This window comes from Homo sapiens, chromosome 3, assembly GCF_000001405.40.
Source record: "Homo sapiens chromosome 3, GRCh38.p14 Primary Assembly".
Lineage (NCBI taxonomy): Eukaryota > Metazoa > Chordata > Mammalia > Primates > Hominidae > Homo > Homo sapiens.
In genome coordinates this window covers 194,195,987-194,213,970 of record NC_000003.12, presented here as the reverse complement: position 1 = coordinate 194,213,970, position 17,984 = coordinate 194,195,987, and the positions used below count along the sequence as shown (strand labels likewise).

General features: G+C 46.1%; 1 long non-coding RNA gene across 2 annotated transcripts in view, besides 6 other annotated features; it reads left to right on the top strand.

The window, feature by feature from the left end:
* The window catches only part of LINC02036 (long intergenic non-protein coding RNA 2036), a 47,138-nt gene extending 36,183 nt beyond the window's left edge, over positions 1-10,955 (top strand). Inside the window, exons 1-3 of one of the 2 annotated variants that reach the window (NR_125404.1) lie at positions 7,664-7,723; positions 9,005-9,152; positions 10,292-10,955. This is a non-coding gene — a long non-coding RNA (long intergenic non-protein coding RNA 2036). Of the gene's footprint in view, positions 1-7,663; positions 7,724-9,004; positions 9,153-10,291 lie in introns of those variants that run through there. The other variant, NR_125403.1, reaches the window with a different exon arrangement.
* Positions 303-2,400: an enhancer, noted in NCBI's record as "VISTA enhancer hs1543". NCBI's record gives its function as "enhancer in: neural tube[10/11] | hindbrain (rhombencephalon)[11/11] | midbrain (mesencephalon)[10/11] | forebrain[10/11]" and the evidence as "EXISTENCE:transgenic organism evidence [ECO:0001131][PMID:17130149]".
* Positions 536-1,341: an enhancer, noted in NCBI's record as "OCT4-NANOG-H3K27ac-H3K4me1 hESC enhancer chr3:193930419-193931224 (GRCh37/hg19 assembly coordinates)". NCBI's record gives its function as "activates a minimal SCP1, AML or CMV promoter by ChIP-STARR-seq in naive H9 embryonic stem cells {active_cell/tissue: H9 hESC(naive)}" and the evidence as "EXISTENCE:reporter gene assay evidence [ECO:0000049][PMID:30033119]".
* Positions 1,342-2,147: an enhancer, noted in NCBI's record as "OCT4-NANOG-H3K27ac hESC enhancer chr3:193929613-193930418 (GRCh37/hg19 assembly coordinates)". NCBI's record gives its function as "activates a minimal SCP1, AML or CMV promoter by ChIP-STARR-seq in naive H9 embryonic stem cells {active_cell/tissue: H9 hESC(naive)}" and the evidence as "EXISTENCE:reporter gene assay evidence [ECO:0000049][PMID:30033119]".
* Positions 1,437-1,731: a silencer, noted in NCBI's record as "tiled region #8130; HepG2 Repressive non-DNase unmatched - State 22:ReprW". NCBI's record gives its function as "represses a minimal TATA promoter and a strong SV40 promoter by Sharpr-MPRA in HepG2 cells {active_cell/tissue: HepG2}" and the evidence as "EXISTENCE:reporter gene assay evidence [ECO:0000049][PMID:27701403]".
* Positions 7,937-8,231: an enhancer, noted in NCBI's record as "tiled region #6697; HepG2 Activating non-DNase unmatched - State 20:ReprD, and K562 Activating DNase unmatched - State 5:Enh". NCBI's record gives its function as "activates a minimal TATA promoter and a strong SV40 promoter by Sharpr-MPRA in HepG2 and K562 cells {active_cell/tissue: HepG2 | K562}" and the evidence as "EXISTENCE:reporter gene assay evidence [ECO:0000049][PMID:27701403]".
* Positions 9,654-9,883: a silencer, noted in NCBI's record as "silent region_15018". NCBI's record gives its function as "represses an Ori minimal core promoter by ATAC-STARR-seq in GM12878 lymphoblastoid cells {active_cell/tissue: GM12878}" and the evidence as "EXISTENCE:reporter gene assay evidence [ECO:0000049][PMID:35858748]".
* Positions 10,956-17,984: the final 7,029 nt, after the last annotated feature.

Sequence of the window (17,984 nt, the reverse complement as noted above, 5' to 3'; positions counted from 1 at the left end):
AGGCGGACGGATCACAAGGTCAGGAGTTCGAGACCAGCCTGGCCAACATGGTGAATCTCCGTCTCTACTAAAAATGCAAAAATTTGCCGGGCATGGTGGTGGGCACCTGTAATCCCAGCTACTCAGGAGACTGAGGCAGGAGAATCGCTTGAACCTGGAGGCAGAGGTTGCAGTGAGCTGTGATCGCGCCATTGCACTCCAGCCTGCGTGACAGGGAGACTCTCATCTTAAAAAAAAAAAAAATAGGGATGATAAGGTCTACTTATCAGGAAAACTGTTGCACTGGGTAAGAACTAAGGGTGGCTGAGCCCTTTCACAAGTCATCTTATGAAAATGACATTTAAATGGAATCAATTATATGCAAAATGGCACAGAGTTTAGCCTTTTGTAGCACTTGACAAATGGGATTGACTTCCCTTCTTTCTCCGCTTAAGAGTGCAGGACCTCTGAATTGCCAACTGTAACAGTTATTGATTATGTTGAAAAGGGTTATAAAAAGCTTAGTTTGGGATTCAGATGTGGTAGTGTGATAGTGGTGAGATGCCTTGTTTTAATCTTGACTCTCACCGTGATTTGTTATGTGTCCTCGGGCAAGTATCCTTCCTTTCTGAGCCTCTGGGCTTTCTTTGGGAAAATGCGGGGCTGGGCGGCTGGGGACTGAGGTCTGACTCTGTCAGGCTGTACCTTATTCTGTGAGTTGCCCTTCCAGAACCCAACAGACTCCACCCAGCTGCTGTGAGCACGGTTTGCCTTCAAAGTAGATGCTATCTCTGTCCCTGGCACCGGCCTTCTTAAGGCCCGGGGGCCCGAGGTTGACATCCTGTGAGGTCGCCTGGGAAGAAGCCCACATTACATTCTTCTGCAATGTAATGCAAAACAGATCCGGCCTAGGCTCCAGCCAGCACCAGGGAAGTGGACTTCATTGTAAAAGCCACCTTGTCAGCGTCAGGCCTGGGTGATTAATGACTCTTTAATCTCACAGCAGAATACCTGACAAAATACGCCTGGGCCAAAAAGGCAGAACAAACCTAATTAGCCTAGTTGACCCACTCACAAGGTGTGGGTTGCTAAGGATCCCAACAGCTTCGAAAGGAAGCCTCTCCCTGCCTGTCCCTTTTAGGTCTGTGAAAGAATCAAGTGGTCACAATGGGGAAGGGACTCCATTAAAAGGAGGGGGCTGGCCAATGAATAAACATGCAGGTTACCGTGTTGATATTTCGCTGAATGCTGTTCTGAAGTGGGGTGTTTGGGGCCTCGGAGGCCGGCGCCCCTGTATTGTGCTGGGGGAGGGACTGGCCATTTGAAGTCAAGGTGAGGACATACTGGGGCAGATGGAACCTGCTTTGTTTGTGAAAGAGTTTTTCTGCTATTTATGCTAATGAGTGGGAAACACTTCTAGAGCATTTCAGATGATTCTGTAATGAGGCCCGGCAGAATGTGCCAACATTGTTGGCCCAGGACAATTTCAAACTCCCACTCGCCACATTAGCAGCCCTTCTTTACATGAAGGCCCTTGGAGGGTGAAAGAGGACAATGCAGGAAGAGTGAAAACATCACAAAGAGGGGCTTTTGTTTCGCCTTCCTTTGAACCCTCTCAAAAGCCCAGTTTCAAGGGGTGTGTTGGGCCTGCCTTTCAACGTTACTGAACCCAGAATCCCCTGTTGTTTAGCAACATAGAAAGCTGACCTTAATTGACTCCACTTCTGAGCAGGCTTTGTAAATCACTCTGCCCCGGAGTGGAATTTCCTGATGGTGTCCGTGTGTGATATATAACGTTTGTACACAGGATACCAACGTGCCAATGCAATATACATGCCTTCATGTGTGCACAGTGATTTACAGCTTACAGCTCACTTTTACATGCATTCTCTCACAAGGACCCTACCTCTGGGTTAGGAATCATTATTCCCATTTTACCGATAAGAGAATTGAGACTCAGAGAAGTTAGGTGGCCTGCCCAGAGTCACCCATCAAGAAGGAATCAGAGCTGTGTCTGGAAGTTAGGTTTCCCTGACGCTCTGTTTCACTGCAGTTGTTCCAGGGGTTGTATTAAATAGACTGTGTAAATGTGTATTCGAGAGAGATGTCTTGAGCAATTAGTTTCTTTAAAGCATTGTTTTGTGGGTAAAGAAGAACATCGCTAGGTTATAACAACATTTTGGATTTCCCCTTTAATTTCTGGTCATAATAGCATTTTCTTGACAAGACTGCTTCCACTGCACTCTAGCTGTGCCTGGAGGATTTCTACTGTCCCCTTTCCCTTCCTTCCTCATCCTCAAGTCACGCAGCTATAGGCACGAGGCTCTCAGGTAGGGCAGTGCTGGGAGTTCCAGCTTCCCTCTGGGATTATGCTTCACGGAGCCTCATCAATTCTAGGGATATTGTGAGGAAGGTGCTCCACCCTGGAATTCGTCTAGAAGTTCAGCCTGGGGCCTGAGAGACACATCTGTACTCTTAAAGCCTCTAGACTAGGAATACTCTGTGCTGACTTTGCCATGTGACCGTGAAGTTCTGTTATAGAGGACTCTATGCTGAGAAGGGTCACGTGCTTGGCTTAATGCTCTTCTGTCACTGTCTTGACATTCTTGATAATTTCATCTTTGAACTTCTTTTTTGTAAGTGAAGCCCAGTGAGACAGTGGAGGAGAGGGGTCATGCCACTGCAGTTCCTCGCTATGCCATTCATACAGAGCATTCTCCATGCTCAGGAGTCCAGGAGTCCAGTGGGCCCATGATGCCCAGGAGCTCGTCGAGACTCAGGGAGGTAAGCACACTCTGCCCACACCTGAGTAAGCGGGCCCCTAGGGCCCTTAGAAGCCATGCACTCCTTGCAAACCAGTACAAAAGAATACAAAAGAGCCAGGCGCGGTGGCTCATGCCTGTAATCCCAGCACTTTGGGAGGCTGAGATGGGTGGATCGCCTGAGGTCAGGAGTTTGAGACCAGCCTGGCCAACATAGTGAAACCCCATCTCTACTAAAAATACAAAAAGTTAGCTGGGTGTGGTGGTGGGCGCCTGTAATCCCAGCTACTTGAGAGGCTGAGGCAGGAGAATCACTTGAACCCAGGAGGTGGGGGTTGCAATGAGCCGAGATCACACCATTGCACTCCAGCCTGGGCAACAAGAGCAAAACTCTGTCTCAAAAACAAAACAAAACAAAAAAAAAGATTACAAAAAAAGACAGTGGCAGTCTAAGAAAAACACAATTGACCAAATAATCCCATCATATCCTTTCTTACTCACCTTATGTCCTTGTGTTAGCAAAACAGATCCATTGAAAATGACACGAGAAGGAACGAGAGAGCAAGGATGATCCATAGCTCCCTGCCCTTTCATTCAGCCTCATCATAAGCCAAAGGTACAGAGGGCTGGGAAATGTGTGTGTATTACCAAGAGAAATGAAAACAGCGGGGTTAGTTTTGTATAGCACTTTCACTGTTCTGGTAAGAATATATATATATACATGTATACACACATACATACATACATATATAGGCTACAAAATAAAAATTCTGCAATTTTGGTGATTCTGCGTAGGAGTTAAATGTTCTTATATTTGCATTTAAAACTGGCACTATTCAAATTAAAGAGGAATTGTAAAACTCATGCTAATAATTTAAAATGTGAATTTTTCTTTACTTAGGAAGACACTAAATAGTAAATAAAATCCACAAATTATATAGCTAACCCTGTTTCTGGCAGAAGACCTATTGAAATGCGTATCATATGTTTGAAAAAAATTCTGTGATCACAGATCTTACAATCAGCCCTAAAAGAGCTACTGTGTCAATGCCGTCCTCGAGTTTTCTTGGGTTCTGTGTGGGACCATCACATGGCGCTATGTTGCTCTTTGGGCAAAGGGTGGTGGGTGGAGATCACAGTGGCCCTATTAGCTATGTGATCATGGACAAGCCTCTGCCTTCTCAATCTGCAGCAGGGAGGTAGCATATATCTTGTCATTTATCAGGATTTCCTGTAAAAGTACGCATATAAAGGTGTTTTGGAAAATGTAAAATGTTGTGTATGTATCAAGTATAATTTTTATTACTATTAAAAAACTACAAAGCAGGAACCATGAACATTGCTGTCTTTATTCCCTCTGATTTGTAAATTCCTGCCAAGTTTGCATAAATCCAAATTCATTTTTTTCTTTTAAACAAATTTGTCAACAACCATTTGGATGGTAATATGAAAATTCAATATATTCACAACTTTCTTTCACTTTGCAGTAATATACATCAGTGTTTTTAAAGGCTATAGGGATGAAGTTTTACTCTAAAGTTGTTTATACAGTTTTCTATGATTAAACAGTTGTCAAACCTGTGTATAGAAAAAATGATAGGCCAGGAGCAGTGGCTCATACTTGTAATCCCAGTACTTTGGGAGGCCGAGGTGGGTGGATCACTTGAGGTCAGGAGTTCAAGACCAGCCTGGCCAACATGGTGAAACCCGGTCTCTGCTTAAAGAAATAAAAAAAAATTAGCCAGGCATGGTGGTGCACGCCTGTAGTCCCAGCTACTCAGGAGGCTGAAGTGGGAGAATCACTTGAACTCAGGAGGTGGAGGTTGCAGTGAGCTGAGATCGTGGCACTGCACTCCAGCCTGGGCAATAGAACGAGACTCCATCTCAAAAAAATAAATAAAATAAAAGCCTAACAAATAGAAAAATAAACAACCTGATATAGAAGATGAGTGAGTCCTAATAACATAAGGCCCTATCATAACACGGTCTACTGTTTTTATCATAAAGTTTAGACAACTTCTGGATTAAAAATGTGTCTCTCCAAATGTAACAGCTGCTCACAGGCAAAGTCTGATTAACCTGCTGAGACTACAGGGAATCTGCTAATCTTATCCCTGCAAAGCTAATATCATAAATAAATAGGTCTCTATTATGTAATAAGAACCTGTAATAAATGAGGGACTGACATCATATAATATGAATTGTAGTGGGAGGCAAACGTGTTTTCCCTGTGACTTTGAGACAGTGATTTATCTTTGCTTGGGTCTCTGTTTCTCCATCTGTACTTGGGATGGAGTGAACCGTGACCTCTAAAGGGCCTCCCAGCACCAGCATTCTGTGTTCTGATGGCTTTGATTTGACTTGGAAGCTTTAGTGCCACCTGAAGTCAGATGATAAGGACACATGAGCACACCTGGCAGAGACAGGTTCTGTGTCCCAAGGTGATGCAGCAGATCTGGGGTTTGGAATACCTGTTCCAAATCCAAATCCAACCTCTCCGTTGTCCTTATATCCTCTTTGCTAAAGGGGACTCATTATTCCAGAGTGGGAGGCTCTGTCCCTCTTTCCCCATGGTTCAGATGGGTGGCCTTCACGTTCTCTCTGTGGTTGTCTAGCCATCTCCCCACCATGTCAGCACCAGCCCAGAGCCAGCACAGCAGGTGACTCCCAAGTGTTTGTTGAAGACTGACTTATGGTTTCATAATTTATTACTTTTTAAATTTCTCCTTCTAGACTTGCAAGCACTTTATTTATTTATTTATTTATTTATTTATTTATTTATTTAAGACGGAGTCTTGCTCTGTCACCCAGGCTGGAGTGCAATGGCGCAATCTCAGCTCACTGCCACCTCTGCCTCCCGGGTTCAAGTGATTCTTTGGCTTCAGCCTCTCGAGTAGCTGGGATTACAGGCATGCACCACCATGCCCGGCTAATTTTTGTATTTTTAGTAGAGATGGGGTTTTACCTTGTTGGCCAGACTGGTCTCAAACTCCTGACCTCAGGTAATCCACCTGCCTCGGCCTCCCAAAATGCTGGGATTACAAGCGTGAGCCACCGCACCTGGCAGCAAGCACTTTAAAGACAGGTCCCTCATCAAATTCATCTCTCTCAGCCTATGGCCCCTTGTCTACCCACAAGGCCCAGCCCATAGTGGGAGCTCAGTAGATGGGAATACACATATTTTGAGTAAGCTGGAATGATGCCAATACCCATTTTGCTAAGATGGATATTCTTGCTCATGAAGAATCCCAGGCCGCCCTAGATCAATCTCAGTATATGCCCCCTGCCCATCAGTGAGAGGAACGAGGATGCAACTTGTGCTGTCTGGGGAAGGTGAGGACAATAGCTAGAAACTGTCAAGTCCCAGAAACTCTTCTCAGTCTTGGCTGAAGACAACACCTTTCATGACCTCAGGCTTTTCTTGCTTTGCAGTCTTGTTTAAAATGGCATTTGGGCCTCGGCGTGGTGGCTCACGCCTGTAATCCCAGCCCTTTTGGGAGGCCGAGGTGGGTAGATCACGAGGTCAGGAGATCAAGACCATCCTGGCCAACATGGTGAAACCCCATCTCTTCTAAAAATACAAAAAATTAGCTTGGTGTGGTGGCGGGCGCCTGTAGTCCCAGCTACTCGGGAGGCTGAGGCAGGGGAATAGCTTGAACCTGGGAGGTGGAGGTTGCAGTGAGCCAAGATCGCACCACTGCACTCCAGCCTGGTGACAGAGCAAGACTTGGTCAAAAAAAAAAAAAAAAGGCATTTGGAATATACCCTAATCCTATGACTTAGAAATGAAAAGTATTATGAGACTGTTCATAACAGCTATATTCATAATATCCTCAAACTGGAAACAACTTAAATACACATCAGCAGGAGAATGGGTGGACAAACTGTGTTATAGCCCTCCTAGGGAATACTACTCAGCAACAAAAATGAGCAAACAACATGGATGAATCTCAAGAGCGTCCTCTAAATAAAAGGAACCAGACACAAAAGAGTACATACTGTATTATCCCATTTAAATGTAGTTCTAAAAACAGACAAAACTAATTGAGAGTGATAGAAATCAGAACAGCGATTGCCAGCTAGGGACAGTGGCTCATGCCTGGAATCTCAGCACTTTGGAAGGCTGAGGTGGGAGGATTGCTTAAGGCCAGTAGTTAGAGACCGCATCCCTACAAAAAATAGCAACAAACTAGTTGGTGTGGTGGTGCACACCTATAGTCCTAGCTACTTGGGAGGCTGAGGCAGGAGGATCACTTGACCCCAGGAATTCCAGGTTGCAGTTAGCTATGATCCTGATATTGCACTTCAGCCTGGGGAACAGAGTGAGAATCCATCTCTTAAAAAAAAAAAAAAAAGAACAATAATTGCCTAGGAGGTGGAGTGGGATGTGATGGGCTGACTGGAAAGAAGGCACAAGGGAACTTTCAGGGGTGGTAGAAATTTTCTATATCTTGACTGGGGTGGTGGATACAAAACTTACTGTATGTTAAATTAACCCTCACATTTTAAAAACTCACGTTATTTGGAGCTGAGGTTTACCAGCCTCTCAATGGCCGGCTGTCTCCTGGATCAGACACCAGGAGAGGCAGCTGTGATTTGTGCAGCTGTGGCCACGCTACTGATTTCCTCACATCCGCAGGGGCGGCCCCAGCACGTGGCCCATTTTTCATCCAGTCACTTTGCTGGCACTTGGCGAACGCCTGTCTCTCCCTGGGCTCTGTCCCGGGACCCACAGCAAACTCTCATCCTTCTTCCCGTTGGCACTTCTTCAGCTCCCAAGTCCTCTCTGTGTTTTCTCTTCTCCAGGCAAATCCCTGGGTTTTCCATCCATGCTTCACTGGATGCAGTTTCCAAACCCTTCTTCCTTGTAGTTTCTCTCCCCTGGATATGCTCCAGCTGCCCAGGGCCCATTTCAAGAATTTCTTGAACACTTTTGCTGATGAACTTGACTTCTGCCTTCAAAGCGATTTTAACGAGAGGAGGTAGACTGTGAGCCTTTGTCTAGCCCATCAGTTTACATTTTATTTTTTCAAATAGCGAAGAGACATGAAAATGTGGTGGGAATTCCACAAAGGCCCCTGCAAATGACTGACATACATTTAGGCAGACAATGTCTTTGTGCAGTTCCCGGGGCTGATGCATTAATAGATATAATTTGTAGGCTCCCAAGGAGAGGTTAAAGAGGAGAGCACAGGTTCCTTTGAGTCGAGTTGGTGCTCCCGTGTCATCTGTCCCCAGACTTAATCAAGTTATCATATCAACCCAGTGTTTCCTGGACCCCAGCTCTCTGTCTGAATGAGGAAAAAATTTGCAGACAAATTTCTAGCAGCAGGAAGTTGGTGCTCTCCTGCAAGGCTGGATAAAAACTACGTGTAACCTCTCAAGGCCTCCCTCCCGCTCCTGCTGGGAGTTCAGTTCAAGTGGTTCCCTTATTTGATTACGCCTCTCAGGCCTTCTCTGGTGTAGGTATCCAATCCACTGCTGTGCCCACCGGCTCCCCACGAGGCAGCAAACATTAGAGTCACTCTTTTGTGAAATTATGGGGAGGCTGAGTGGGCCAAGCACTTGTGTGTGTGTGTGCATATGTGTGTGCATGTACGCCTGTGTGTGAGGAGACACACAGATGTGTATAAAGAGAGGAATGCCGTCTGTTAGCAACTGTGGCATTGATTTATAATCACTTCCTGTAGTCACAGAATGACTGAGTGGCGTCTTTCAATTCTCACGATTAAAAAAAAAAAGAGATGGTGAAAAAAAATCCTAAGTGCTAAATATCTATGTATTATGTATTATTATTCTTAAGAGCTTGCAAAAGCCTTATAACATGTATGATTTACAATTAATGGGCCTAATTCTTCCAATACAGATTTCTTCCTTCCATGACTATATAATTCAAGTTATACTGCTAAATATTTTATAATGAGAGTACAAATTATGATGGCCTTTGTAACTGTTTTCATGGGAGCATTTATTATTGGGCTGATGTTGATGGGTTAGTAGATTTGTGCATATCCGTCTCTCTTATCCATTGCTTTATGAGTGGACAAGAAGTGTGGGAATGCGTGCTGTGAACATGTGGTCACTCTAGACTTTTCTCAAAAATATAAAAGACATACATTTATTTCCCTGCACAATCACACACACAAAAAAGAAAGAAATAAAGAAAAGGTAAAAAATCTTTGCAAGGCAATGTTTTGTATTCATTTTCAGGCAATGTCAACGTAATCGAGGAAAATAATAGCCACATCTTTTTTCATCTGCAGGTGCGGAAGACCTACTTAAAACCTGAGAGTCTCGAATAGGAGAGGCGCTTTCAGATCAGCCCGAGTCTTCTGCAGCGCACAGGAGCTAGTCGTACTGAAAAGAATGAAGTTGGACTTGTCCAGGCGAGTTTCGGACAGTGCTGGGCTGGTAAGAAACGGAGTTACCATTCATCTATTCATTCCCAGAAAAAAAGGGAAATACACCCTCCCGAACTCAAGATGCCCATTGATTTATCCCCTTTAGCTGGCAAGACACTCAAGCCCCAATGTCTTCGGGCTCATAAGCGTTTTTATTGAGAGAAGAGCGTCCCTCCCAGGTTCCCACAGGGGCTTGGAAGTCAGGGGAGCCGGGAGGGGCGGCGGGGGCCGGGGCAAGAAGCGGGACGGCTTTTATTTTGCGCCATAAAGGGCTGCACAGTGTCTGCTGGAATCTCAGCAGTTAAAGAGACCCCTCTGCACAAAGGGGCGCTCCGGCCGTAATCGGGAAATAAATTTGATTTTCTGAATTCTTTGGCAGCTGGTGACAAAGGGCCAGGTAGCGCCGCGGCGGGGGTGATCCTTGCAGAAGGCGGCGCGCGGCGGGGCGTGCGCGCCGGAGGGACAAAGGCGGCCGCGCCGCCGCGCCACAAAGGCAGGCCCGGGCCAGGGGGCTCCGCGCCGCGGATCATCTACCCCCGGGGCCGGGTCGGCTGCTGTGGGCGGCGTGGGGCAGAGACACGCCCGCGCCGGAGTCCCCGAGCCTCCGAGACCCCGGGCCCGGGCCGCGTCTCGGGCTTTCCCCGCCCGGTCGTCGGCTCCAGCGCCGCCCCCGCGGCTGCCTTCGCTGCTGCCCTCGCTGTCAGGGACCGAGGCCAGGAGACCGCCTGGCACTTCGCCCTGTCCCAAACCTGGGACTCCAGGGGCCTCCTGCTGGGGCCGCGAGCATCAGACTTTCAGAGCTGAAATCACTTCATCAAGAAATGCCAGTTAACCCTTGCCCAGTTCAGCCTCTTGCTGGGGTTTTGGAGGGGTCACCAGGGATGCCCCTGGGAAGTTTACCCAAATCCCCCTGGCTCAATGAACCGAGACTGCCCCCTTGCCTTTGTTCATCAGGTTATATTTTGTCATTTAATGCGTCTTACATGCCTGTCCTTTAAGTTCTTCTTCGGCAGAGGTGGATCGTCCTTTAATGACAAAGCAGGTGTTGGGGGGACGGGTACCCGGGAGGAAATGACGCCACCTACTAAGTCTCTAAGGGCAGGAATTCATCATTCAAAAGCACTAAGCGCTGCTCTCCTCACTCCCCAGCCCTGCTCTGATCTCCTGGGTGTCTTCACCTCCTCTGGTTCCTAAGTCGGCTGCTGCACCAGCACCCATCAAACTCTCCTGGAAGAGGAAGTGACAGCTCACCGGTAGCCTAGAAGGCCCCTGTGGGCAGAAGCATGGACTTACTCCTCCTCATGGAGATGCGGCTGAGCCATATTTCCTTGGCACCTCTCTGGAACCTTCGACAACCACCACCTCAGACACTAACCAGACTTTAGGTCCATTCCTTTCATGGCTAAAATGAGACAGTCCACAATGTTGATTTTATTTGTAGGGGATGTCAGGATTCCAGAAAAGCAGACTTGGAAAGCAACAAAACGTTAACTTGCAGCTCACTGAGGCCCTTACACTTGTTCTGGGCACCTCTGTATGTTAAAAGAAGTCCAATATCTTTAGCTGCTGGTTATAGGTGGCCATATGTTTCTGCACAGAAATGGGGCTCCCCTTGCTAGACTAATTTTCTAATTTTTCCTCAAGCTTCATTGATTCATATTCTTCTACTTGACCCTGACTGTCAGGACCAACAACACCAAATAACACCAAAGTCTCTTGCTCCTGTCCTCAGAACCTCTCAGAGGCATCCTCTGCCCTGTTGGAGCCATTTTATTTCAGGTTGATCCTTAATTAAATTCAGCGAGATGCAGGACCTGTGTGTGTGAGTGTGGATCTTGTGTGTGAATGTGGACCTGTGTGTGTGAACGTGGGCCTGTGTGAGTGTGGGCCTGTGTGTGAGAGTGGACCTGTGTGTGTGAGTGTGGGCCTGTGTGTGAGTGTGGATGTGTGTGTGTGAGTGTGGGCCTGTGTGTGTGAGTGTGGACCTGTGTGTGTGAGTGTGGGCCTGTGTGTGAGTGTGCAACTGTGTGTGTGTGAATGTGGATCTGTATGTGAACATGGACCTGTGTGTGTGTGTGTGGACCTGTGTGTGTGAATGTGGATCTGTATGTGAACGTGGACCTGTGTGTGTGTGTGTGGACCTGTGTGTGTGAATGTGGATCTGTATGTGTGAATGTGGACCTGTGTGTGTGAGCATGGTATTTACAATCAGCAGGAAGAAGCCTGGAAATGAGTCCTGATTAAATGAGAATCTAAATACAGAACAAGTACCCTAGGAGTTCTAGAAAGATGAATAATTCTCAACCCAGCATAGTAACAGCAGCTTACAATATGTTTGTGTATGTCATAATGGAGTGGTTTCTGTTACATGTGTAATGCTGGTATCATAAGAAGAGTATTGTCATGCTCACAGGATGTCAGGTACAGAAGGTTATAACTGCTTTGTTGTGTTACTTATCTACTGCTGCATAACAAATTACCACAAACTTCGTACTTTTAAACAGCACATTTATTATTTCACAGTTCCTGTGGGTCAGGAGTCCAGGCACAGTTTAGCTGATTCCTCTGTTTTAGATTCTCTTACGGTGCTTTAATCCGGGAGTCAGTCAGGGCTGGGGATCTTATCTGCAGCTTGACCGGGGAAGGTTCTGCTTCCAAAATCATGTGGTTGTTGACAGAATTCAGTTCCTTGAGGGTTGTTGGCCTGAGGGCCTCAGCTTCTTGTGGGCCCTCAGCCAGAGGCCACCCTCAGTTCTTCTCCAGGACCTCTCTCTATGGCAGCTTACTCCATCAAAGCCAGCAAGGGAGACAGTTGACAGCAAAAGTCGGCTAGTAAGATGGGTGTTCAAGTCCGCTGGAATATATTAATATCATGACACTGACGTCCACCACCATCGCCATATTCTGTTGGTTAGAAACAAGTCACAGGTGCCACCCACACTGGAGGGAAGGGATCCCACAAGGGTGGGTACACCAGGGAGCATGGACCATGGAGCCTCCTGGGAGTCTGTCTCCCATATTCACTTCACCCACAAGTAAACTGAGTCCCCAAATTGGGGTGTGCCCTGGCCACAATCTCAGTGAGTTAGTTTAGTGGCTAGACTCAAATCTAGGACAATTATTCTAAGTCTTGTGCTCTTTCCTCTGTAACATGCCTCCATAATACAAGTTTCAAATAGGTGAAGCCTTTGGTTCTGAAAAGCAGCGCCTAGCTCTACCCAGCAGTCTTTGCTGCTCAGGTTAACTGCCACCCCAACCATGAAGTCACTGCGGTCCTTCACTGAGGAACTCAAGGAACCTCTGCATCCTGGGCCCCATAAAATATTCCTAAACCAAAATGGTGGAAAAAATCCCTTTTCCAGATCAATTAAATCAACAAATTTTAAGAACCTGAGGATTTGCTTAGTCTCCCACCCCCACCCTCTTAACAAGTGAGAAACCCGAGGTCTAGAAGTGAGAAATGATTTACTCAAGCTCACAATGATGACAAAGCCTCATTCTCTTTCTTTTTTACAAATTTCAAGCAATCGCAGAGAATGGATTGGCTTGCATAGCCAAGCACAGGAAGGGCCGACGAATGGGACACCTGGAGCCAGGACTCAGAGGCCCTCAGGGCCACCTCTGTCCCATCTCTCCCTGCAGGCTGAAGTTTTCAGTCTCCAGCTGACACTGAGACCCCAGCGTCTGAGACCAAAAGGAAAACAATCAAATAAGCAACAGTTCTGATCCCAACAGGCCAAGTTGCCTCTTTCAGGAAAAATCTGCTCACATCATGAATTCTGGACACGCAATTGTTGTTTAAATAGTTCATTCCCAAGAGGCCACCCTTCACTGATAGATACAGCTTTGTGTAATATGACCGTAGCTTCGTCTCTGTAATTTCAGTAAGACTACAATTCCCACCTCAAGAGGTGGAAGTGAAGTCTAATTTTCCGTGAGGATCACGTGTGCATGTGGATGTGTGTGTGTTTCTTTTTCTGTGGGTCCAAGTCTTTATCTTGCTAAATCCATTACACCTCCTCTCTGCCTGTCTGCACTGGAGATAAAAAATGGCATTTTCTGGCCTCAGGCCACTGCATTTGGCCAAACATTCTCCCAGCAAAGTTATGAACAAAATTTCCTCCTCCATTTGTGCTCTTCTGAAAGAGACGTCTGGCTGCATTCACTGTCCACTGTCCTCAGAGAATAACTGAAGGAACAAATGAAACCAGATATAATGAGCTCTGTGCCTGTCATCTTGAGTTTCAATGAACTTATCTCTTTACTGGCTTTGAAGAGCTGAAATCACTCCATGTGCTGGGGGGGTAGTTTAGAGAATATGAAGAATTTGATCCTTGGTGGGGCTAAATAGTTGTGATCCTGGGCTACTTTTGAGTTGTTTCTCCTTGGCTGACATGGACTTTCTGAAGGCACTTGTTTTCAAGAGAAATCAGAAATATGCTTCAGAAAAATAACCATCAAATCATTTTGGAAGAAATAAGAAAAGAACATTTATTTTAGCAATAAGATAATCTCTTCTGGGATTCATAACTAATTTGGTGGAAGTGTTTCTATTTTAAATAAAATCCACATCAGTATTAGAAGAATGTGGATTGATTTTCTGGGCCTTTTAGGGCCACCAACCTCAGCATTTGCCGAATGTGGACTCAAGGACTCTGTCTCTTTGCACTTGCTGCTTCCTGTTTTTGGAGATGCTTCTACCTCCTCTCTCTGACAAACTTCTTCCTACTCACCTGGCAGGGTCCAGCTGCACACCCCCTCTTCCATGAGGCCTGCTGGCGCTCCCACTTCCCCAACCTCTCCTCACCATGCACAGGGGCGGCCACTCTCCTCTTTGGACTCTCGCAGCCTCTTTTTATAGTTCTATCTAGGTCTTTGCTATATTTGCCCGGGGAGGCTGTGATCAACATGGGAACAGGGGTTTGGTTTTGTTCATTTTCATTTTCGCAGGCCTTGGAGGACTCACGCAGCTTGTAATGGCACAGGCTTGATGGATGGATGAATTGGCAAATCACTTTGAGGAAAATCTCTTTGATTGGTATATTTGATTCCTAGTTAACAAACTGCCTACTAGCATTCCTGTGTATATGGCGCCCAGATATCTAACAGCATTGAAATGATATGAAGCTGCTTTGTGCAAAGATGTGCTTTACAGAAGATAAAGACTGCCAGGTAGAAAAGGAGCATATGAATCACTGCACTCTTGGCAATCGAAAGGAAATTATGTCCCTTATACTGCACATTGCTAACCCTGTCTTACATCTACTGAGCATTCACAGTGTGTCCAGACAATCTACTAAGGGCTTTATGAAGACTACCACAGTGTCCTTTGGAGGTAGGTCCTGTTGTGCTCATTTTACAGATGAGAAAACCTAGGTGCAGAGATGAATTAAGTTACCCTAGATCACCTGGCTAGTGACAGAGGCAAGTGTTTAAGCCCGAGTCTCGGTCATAACCTCTAAAGGAACACAGAAACTTTGTCCAAGGTATGCATTGGCTGAAATGCAATTTAACATTTATTGAGTGTCTATGGCACACTGGTTCCTGCCCTGGCACTGTGAATACACAAATGAAAGGATCAGGTCTCTGCCCTTGAAGTTTTCTAAGGAGAGGTGGGGGTGAGAGCTCAGACAAGCACACAATTTGTTAGAATGCAGGAGGAAGTGAAAGTGCCATAAAGAGGCACAATGTGCTATATGGGTTCCCGCAGGGAGCATGTACCATCTGGTGGCATGGATCAGGAAAGGCTTCCTGGAGGAGGTAGCACGTTAGGTGAGCCTTGAAGGATGAGACATCCGTGGGAGAGATCCAGAAAGAGGCTATGGAGGAGGGAATCTGCAAGATGAGGTGGGAGAAGTGGGAAAGGAGCATGAGAGTGTAGTTGGGGCCAGCACAGGGAGGCCAGGGGGTCTGCTGGGAGGTTGTGGCCAATCTGGTGAGAGAGCCAGGGGCTATTTTAAATTAGCAAGAAGACCTGCTATCCAGAAGCATGCAGCACTGTAGTGGGTCTGAAGTTCCCACGACTAGTCTAACACCTGTGTGAGGCTAGTTCCAATGTGTCCTTCCTTTCCAAAGTCTTCATCTTCACGGTTGCTTTGTAACAATTCTATACTCCTCCAGCTCCTGCGTCCATTCCCCTCCCTGCATTACCTTTACATTCTGATTTGAGAGTCCTGTGGGAGTTTCTTCTTACCCTTCATGTATTTCAAGGTGGTTAGTAGCTTGTTTCTCAGTCACCCCCCACCCATGGCCTCTCACATGGTTTTGGGCGCTCCCTGTCCCAGTTCCGTGATCATCCTCTGGGCTCTCTTAGCTGCTCCTCTACGTCCCCAGCAGCACTCAGCCATGGGGCCCTGATTCTTTGAAAGTACACAAATGGTTCTCTTGTCCTCTCTTAGCCTAGATAAACATGATTAAAACCCCATTGTCTATAAGGCCAACAGAAACTCACTCATGAGAATCCACTTAATGGCTCATAATGAAGCACCGCCCCAGTGTTCAACCTGAGATGTTCAAGGGAAAGGACCAGGGTCTACCATTTCCGTGACAGATCACCCTCCACTCTGCCTAAATGCACCCATGTCACCTTCCAGCAAGTCCCGGGGAGGCAGCCCATTCTTCCATGAAGAGCCTTAGCCTGAGTCACTAATAGGGGTTAAGTCCAAACCTCCTGGAGAAGCCGAGGCCACACAGCAGGAGCTTGGTACATCCACTTCTCTCTGCTCAGTGGCTTCTGCTCACTCATGCCTTCCACTCCCGGTGGCTTAAGGAGATTGAACAGAAATCCAAAACATTCTTTGAAGGGGGTACGTTGATCACTCATCTTTGAATCCACTTAGCATGGTGCCCTGCACACAGGCATTATTCAGTATGTTTATTGATGTGTTTATTGATGTGTTTCCTTTCCGCTCACTAGACTTCATGGACTAGAAATCCATTCCCTAGCCCTCCCCTGGTGATCTGGCCCCACAAGAGCAGTCCCAGGCGTCCTACTCCTGTCACCCGGCTTTGTAGGTCTTGTTCCCCAGCACTGTCACCACGTGCTTTGCTCCTTTCCAAACCTCCTTCTACTTGTCATGTCCCTCTAAAGCTATCAAGCCAACAACTTGACTCCCCCAGTGGAAGCAATGGATCTGAAAATGCTTCTTAAACTCCGAGGTGCTATGTAAATGTAGAGAAACAACAAGAATCATGATGACGTTTTCTATAAAGGACTGTGATAGCTGAGACTAGTGGTAGGAATGCTGGAATAAGGAACAACTTAAAAATACCCAGGCAAGGCACTGAATGTGAATCGATGATAGTAATCTTCAAAGAATAGTCACATTTTCAAACAAATGTTGATGAGGTATATCTTGTAGATTTTTAGTCAGAAAACAAAATAGATTTCTTTCAGTGGTATACTGATGATTTCTATTTTACCTACCTCAAGAGACAATTTGAGAGACACACAACAAATTATCAGCCAGGAAAAGAGAAAGAATTCATTACGCGTTGGCCCCAGCTTTAAAACTGTGTGGCTCTTCCCCTCTCTGTTTTCCATTTATAAAATGAGGGGGTTAGAACAGATAATCTGTAAAGTCTCTTCTGGCCCTGATAGTCTATGGATTATTGAGAAAACCCAACCATTCTCTTTCTTGATTTCCTCCAGGAGTGAGTTTACTTGCCACGTGTCTTTTCCTGGCACACATCTCGCTATTTGCCATTCTTTCAGTGTAGTTTTTCGTGACTCAACCACGAGCCCTCGCAGGTCAGGACCGTGTCTCATTCGGCTTCCTGCCATCTTAACCTGGTGCCTGGCCCATAGCAGATGCTCAATAAATACTGTCAAATAAGTAAATTAGAGACGCTAAAGGCAGGTGATTAAGAGGATGAGCCAGAGAATGAAACGGAACCATGTGTACTTAGAAAGGACTTTATTGAGAGGAAGGATTTTAAACAATCAGTGGGAAAACGTTCTTCAGGAATTCTTCCCCATGTCATGTGAGGTGGGTAAATAAAGTAAGTCTAAAAGATAAGCATATCTGTGCTGAAATTGGTATTTTAAGCTTGTATTAGTTTTCTGACTTCTTTTTAGATTTAGCTGGTGTTTGTCTGGACATCCTTGATCTCTGGCAACATTTTAACACCATAAGCAACTTCACAGGTTGATAGAGACAAGGCTGCCATGTACCCCTGGCCCCTTGTTCAAGGGTGCCTGGGAAGTTGGGACTGGGTAGCTCATCACTCCATCTGAGCTAAGGTGAAGTCAGCCAACATTTCTTTTTTTTTTTTGAGATGGAGTCTCACTCTGTCGCCCAGGCTGGAGTGCAGTGGCACGATCTCGGCTCACTGCAAACTCTGTGCCCCAGGGTTCAAGCAATTCTCCTGCCTCAGCCTCCTCAGTAGCTGGGATTACAGCTGCCTGCCACCTCTCCTGGCTAATTTTTGTATTTGTAGTAGAGACGGGGTTTCACCATCTTGGCCAGGCTGGTCTTGAACTTTTGACCTCATGATCCACCCACCTATGCCTCCCAAAGTGCTGGGATTACAGGTGTGAGCCACCGTGCCCGGCCAAGACATCATTTCTTAAGTGGAAAACTCAGCCATTCATCCAGATGTTTTGTCTTTGAGGAGAAAAATCCTGACCTTTGTTTCATATGTATGTATATATATCTCAAGGCCCTTATTATGAGGTTTATTGACTTCAAGGGATCCAAGAACATCCTGAAAGCAGATACAAAATGTTGAGCTGTGCCAAGACTGCAAAGACTGGAAGGATTTCCTTCCTGTCAGAATGACTGGCATGGCCTTAGTTTGGTCACTGCTTACCCTATCTTTGAATTTACTTTCCCTTTTGAAA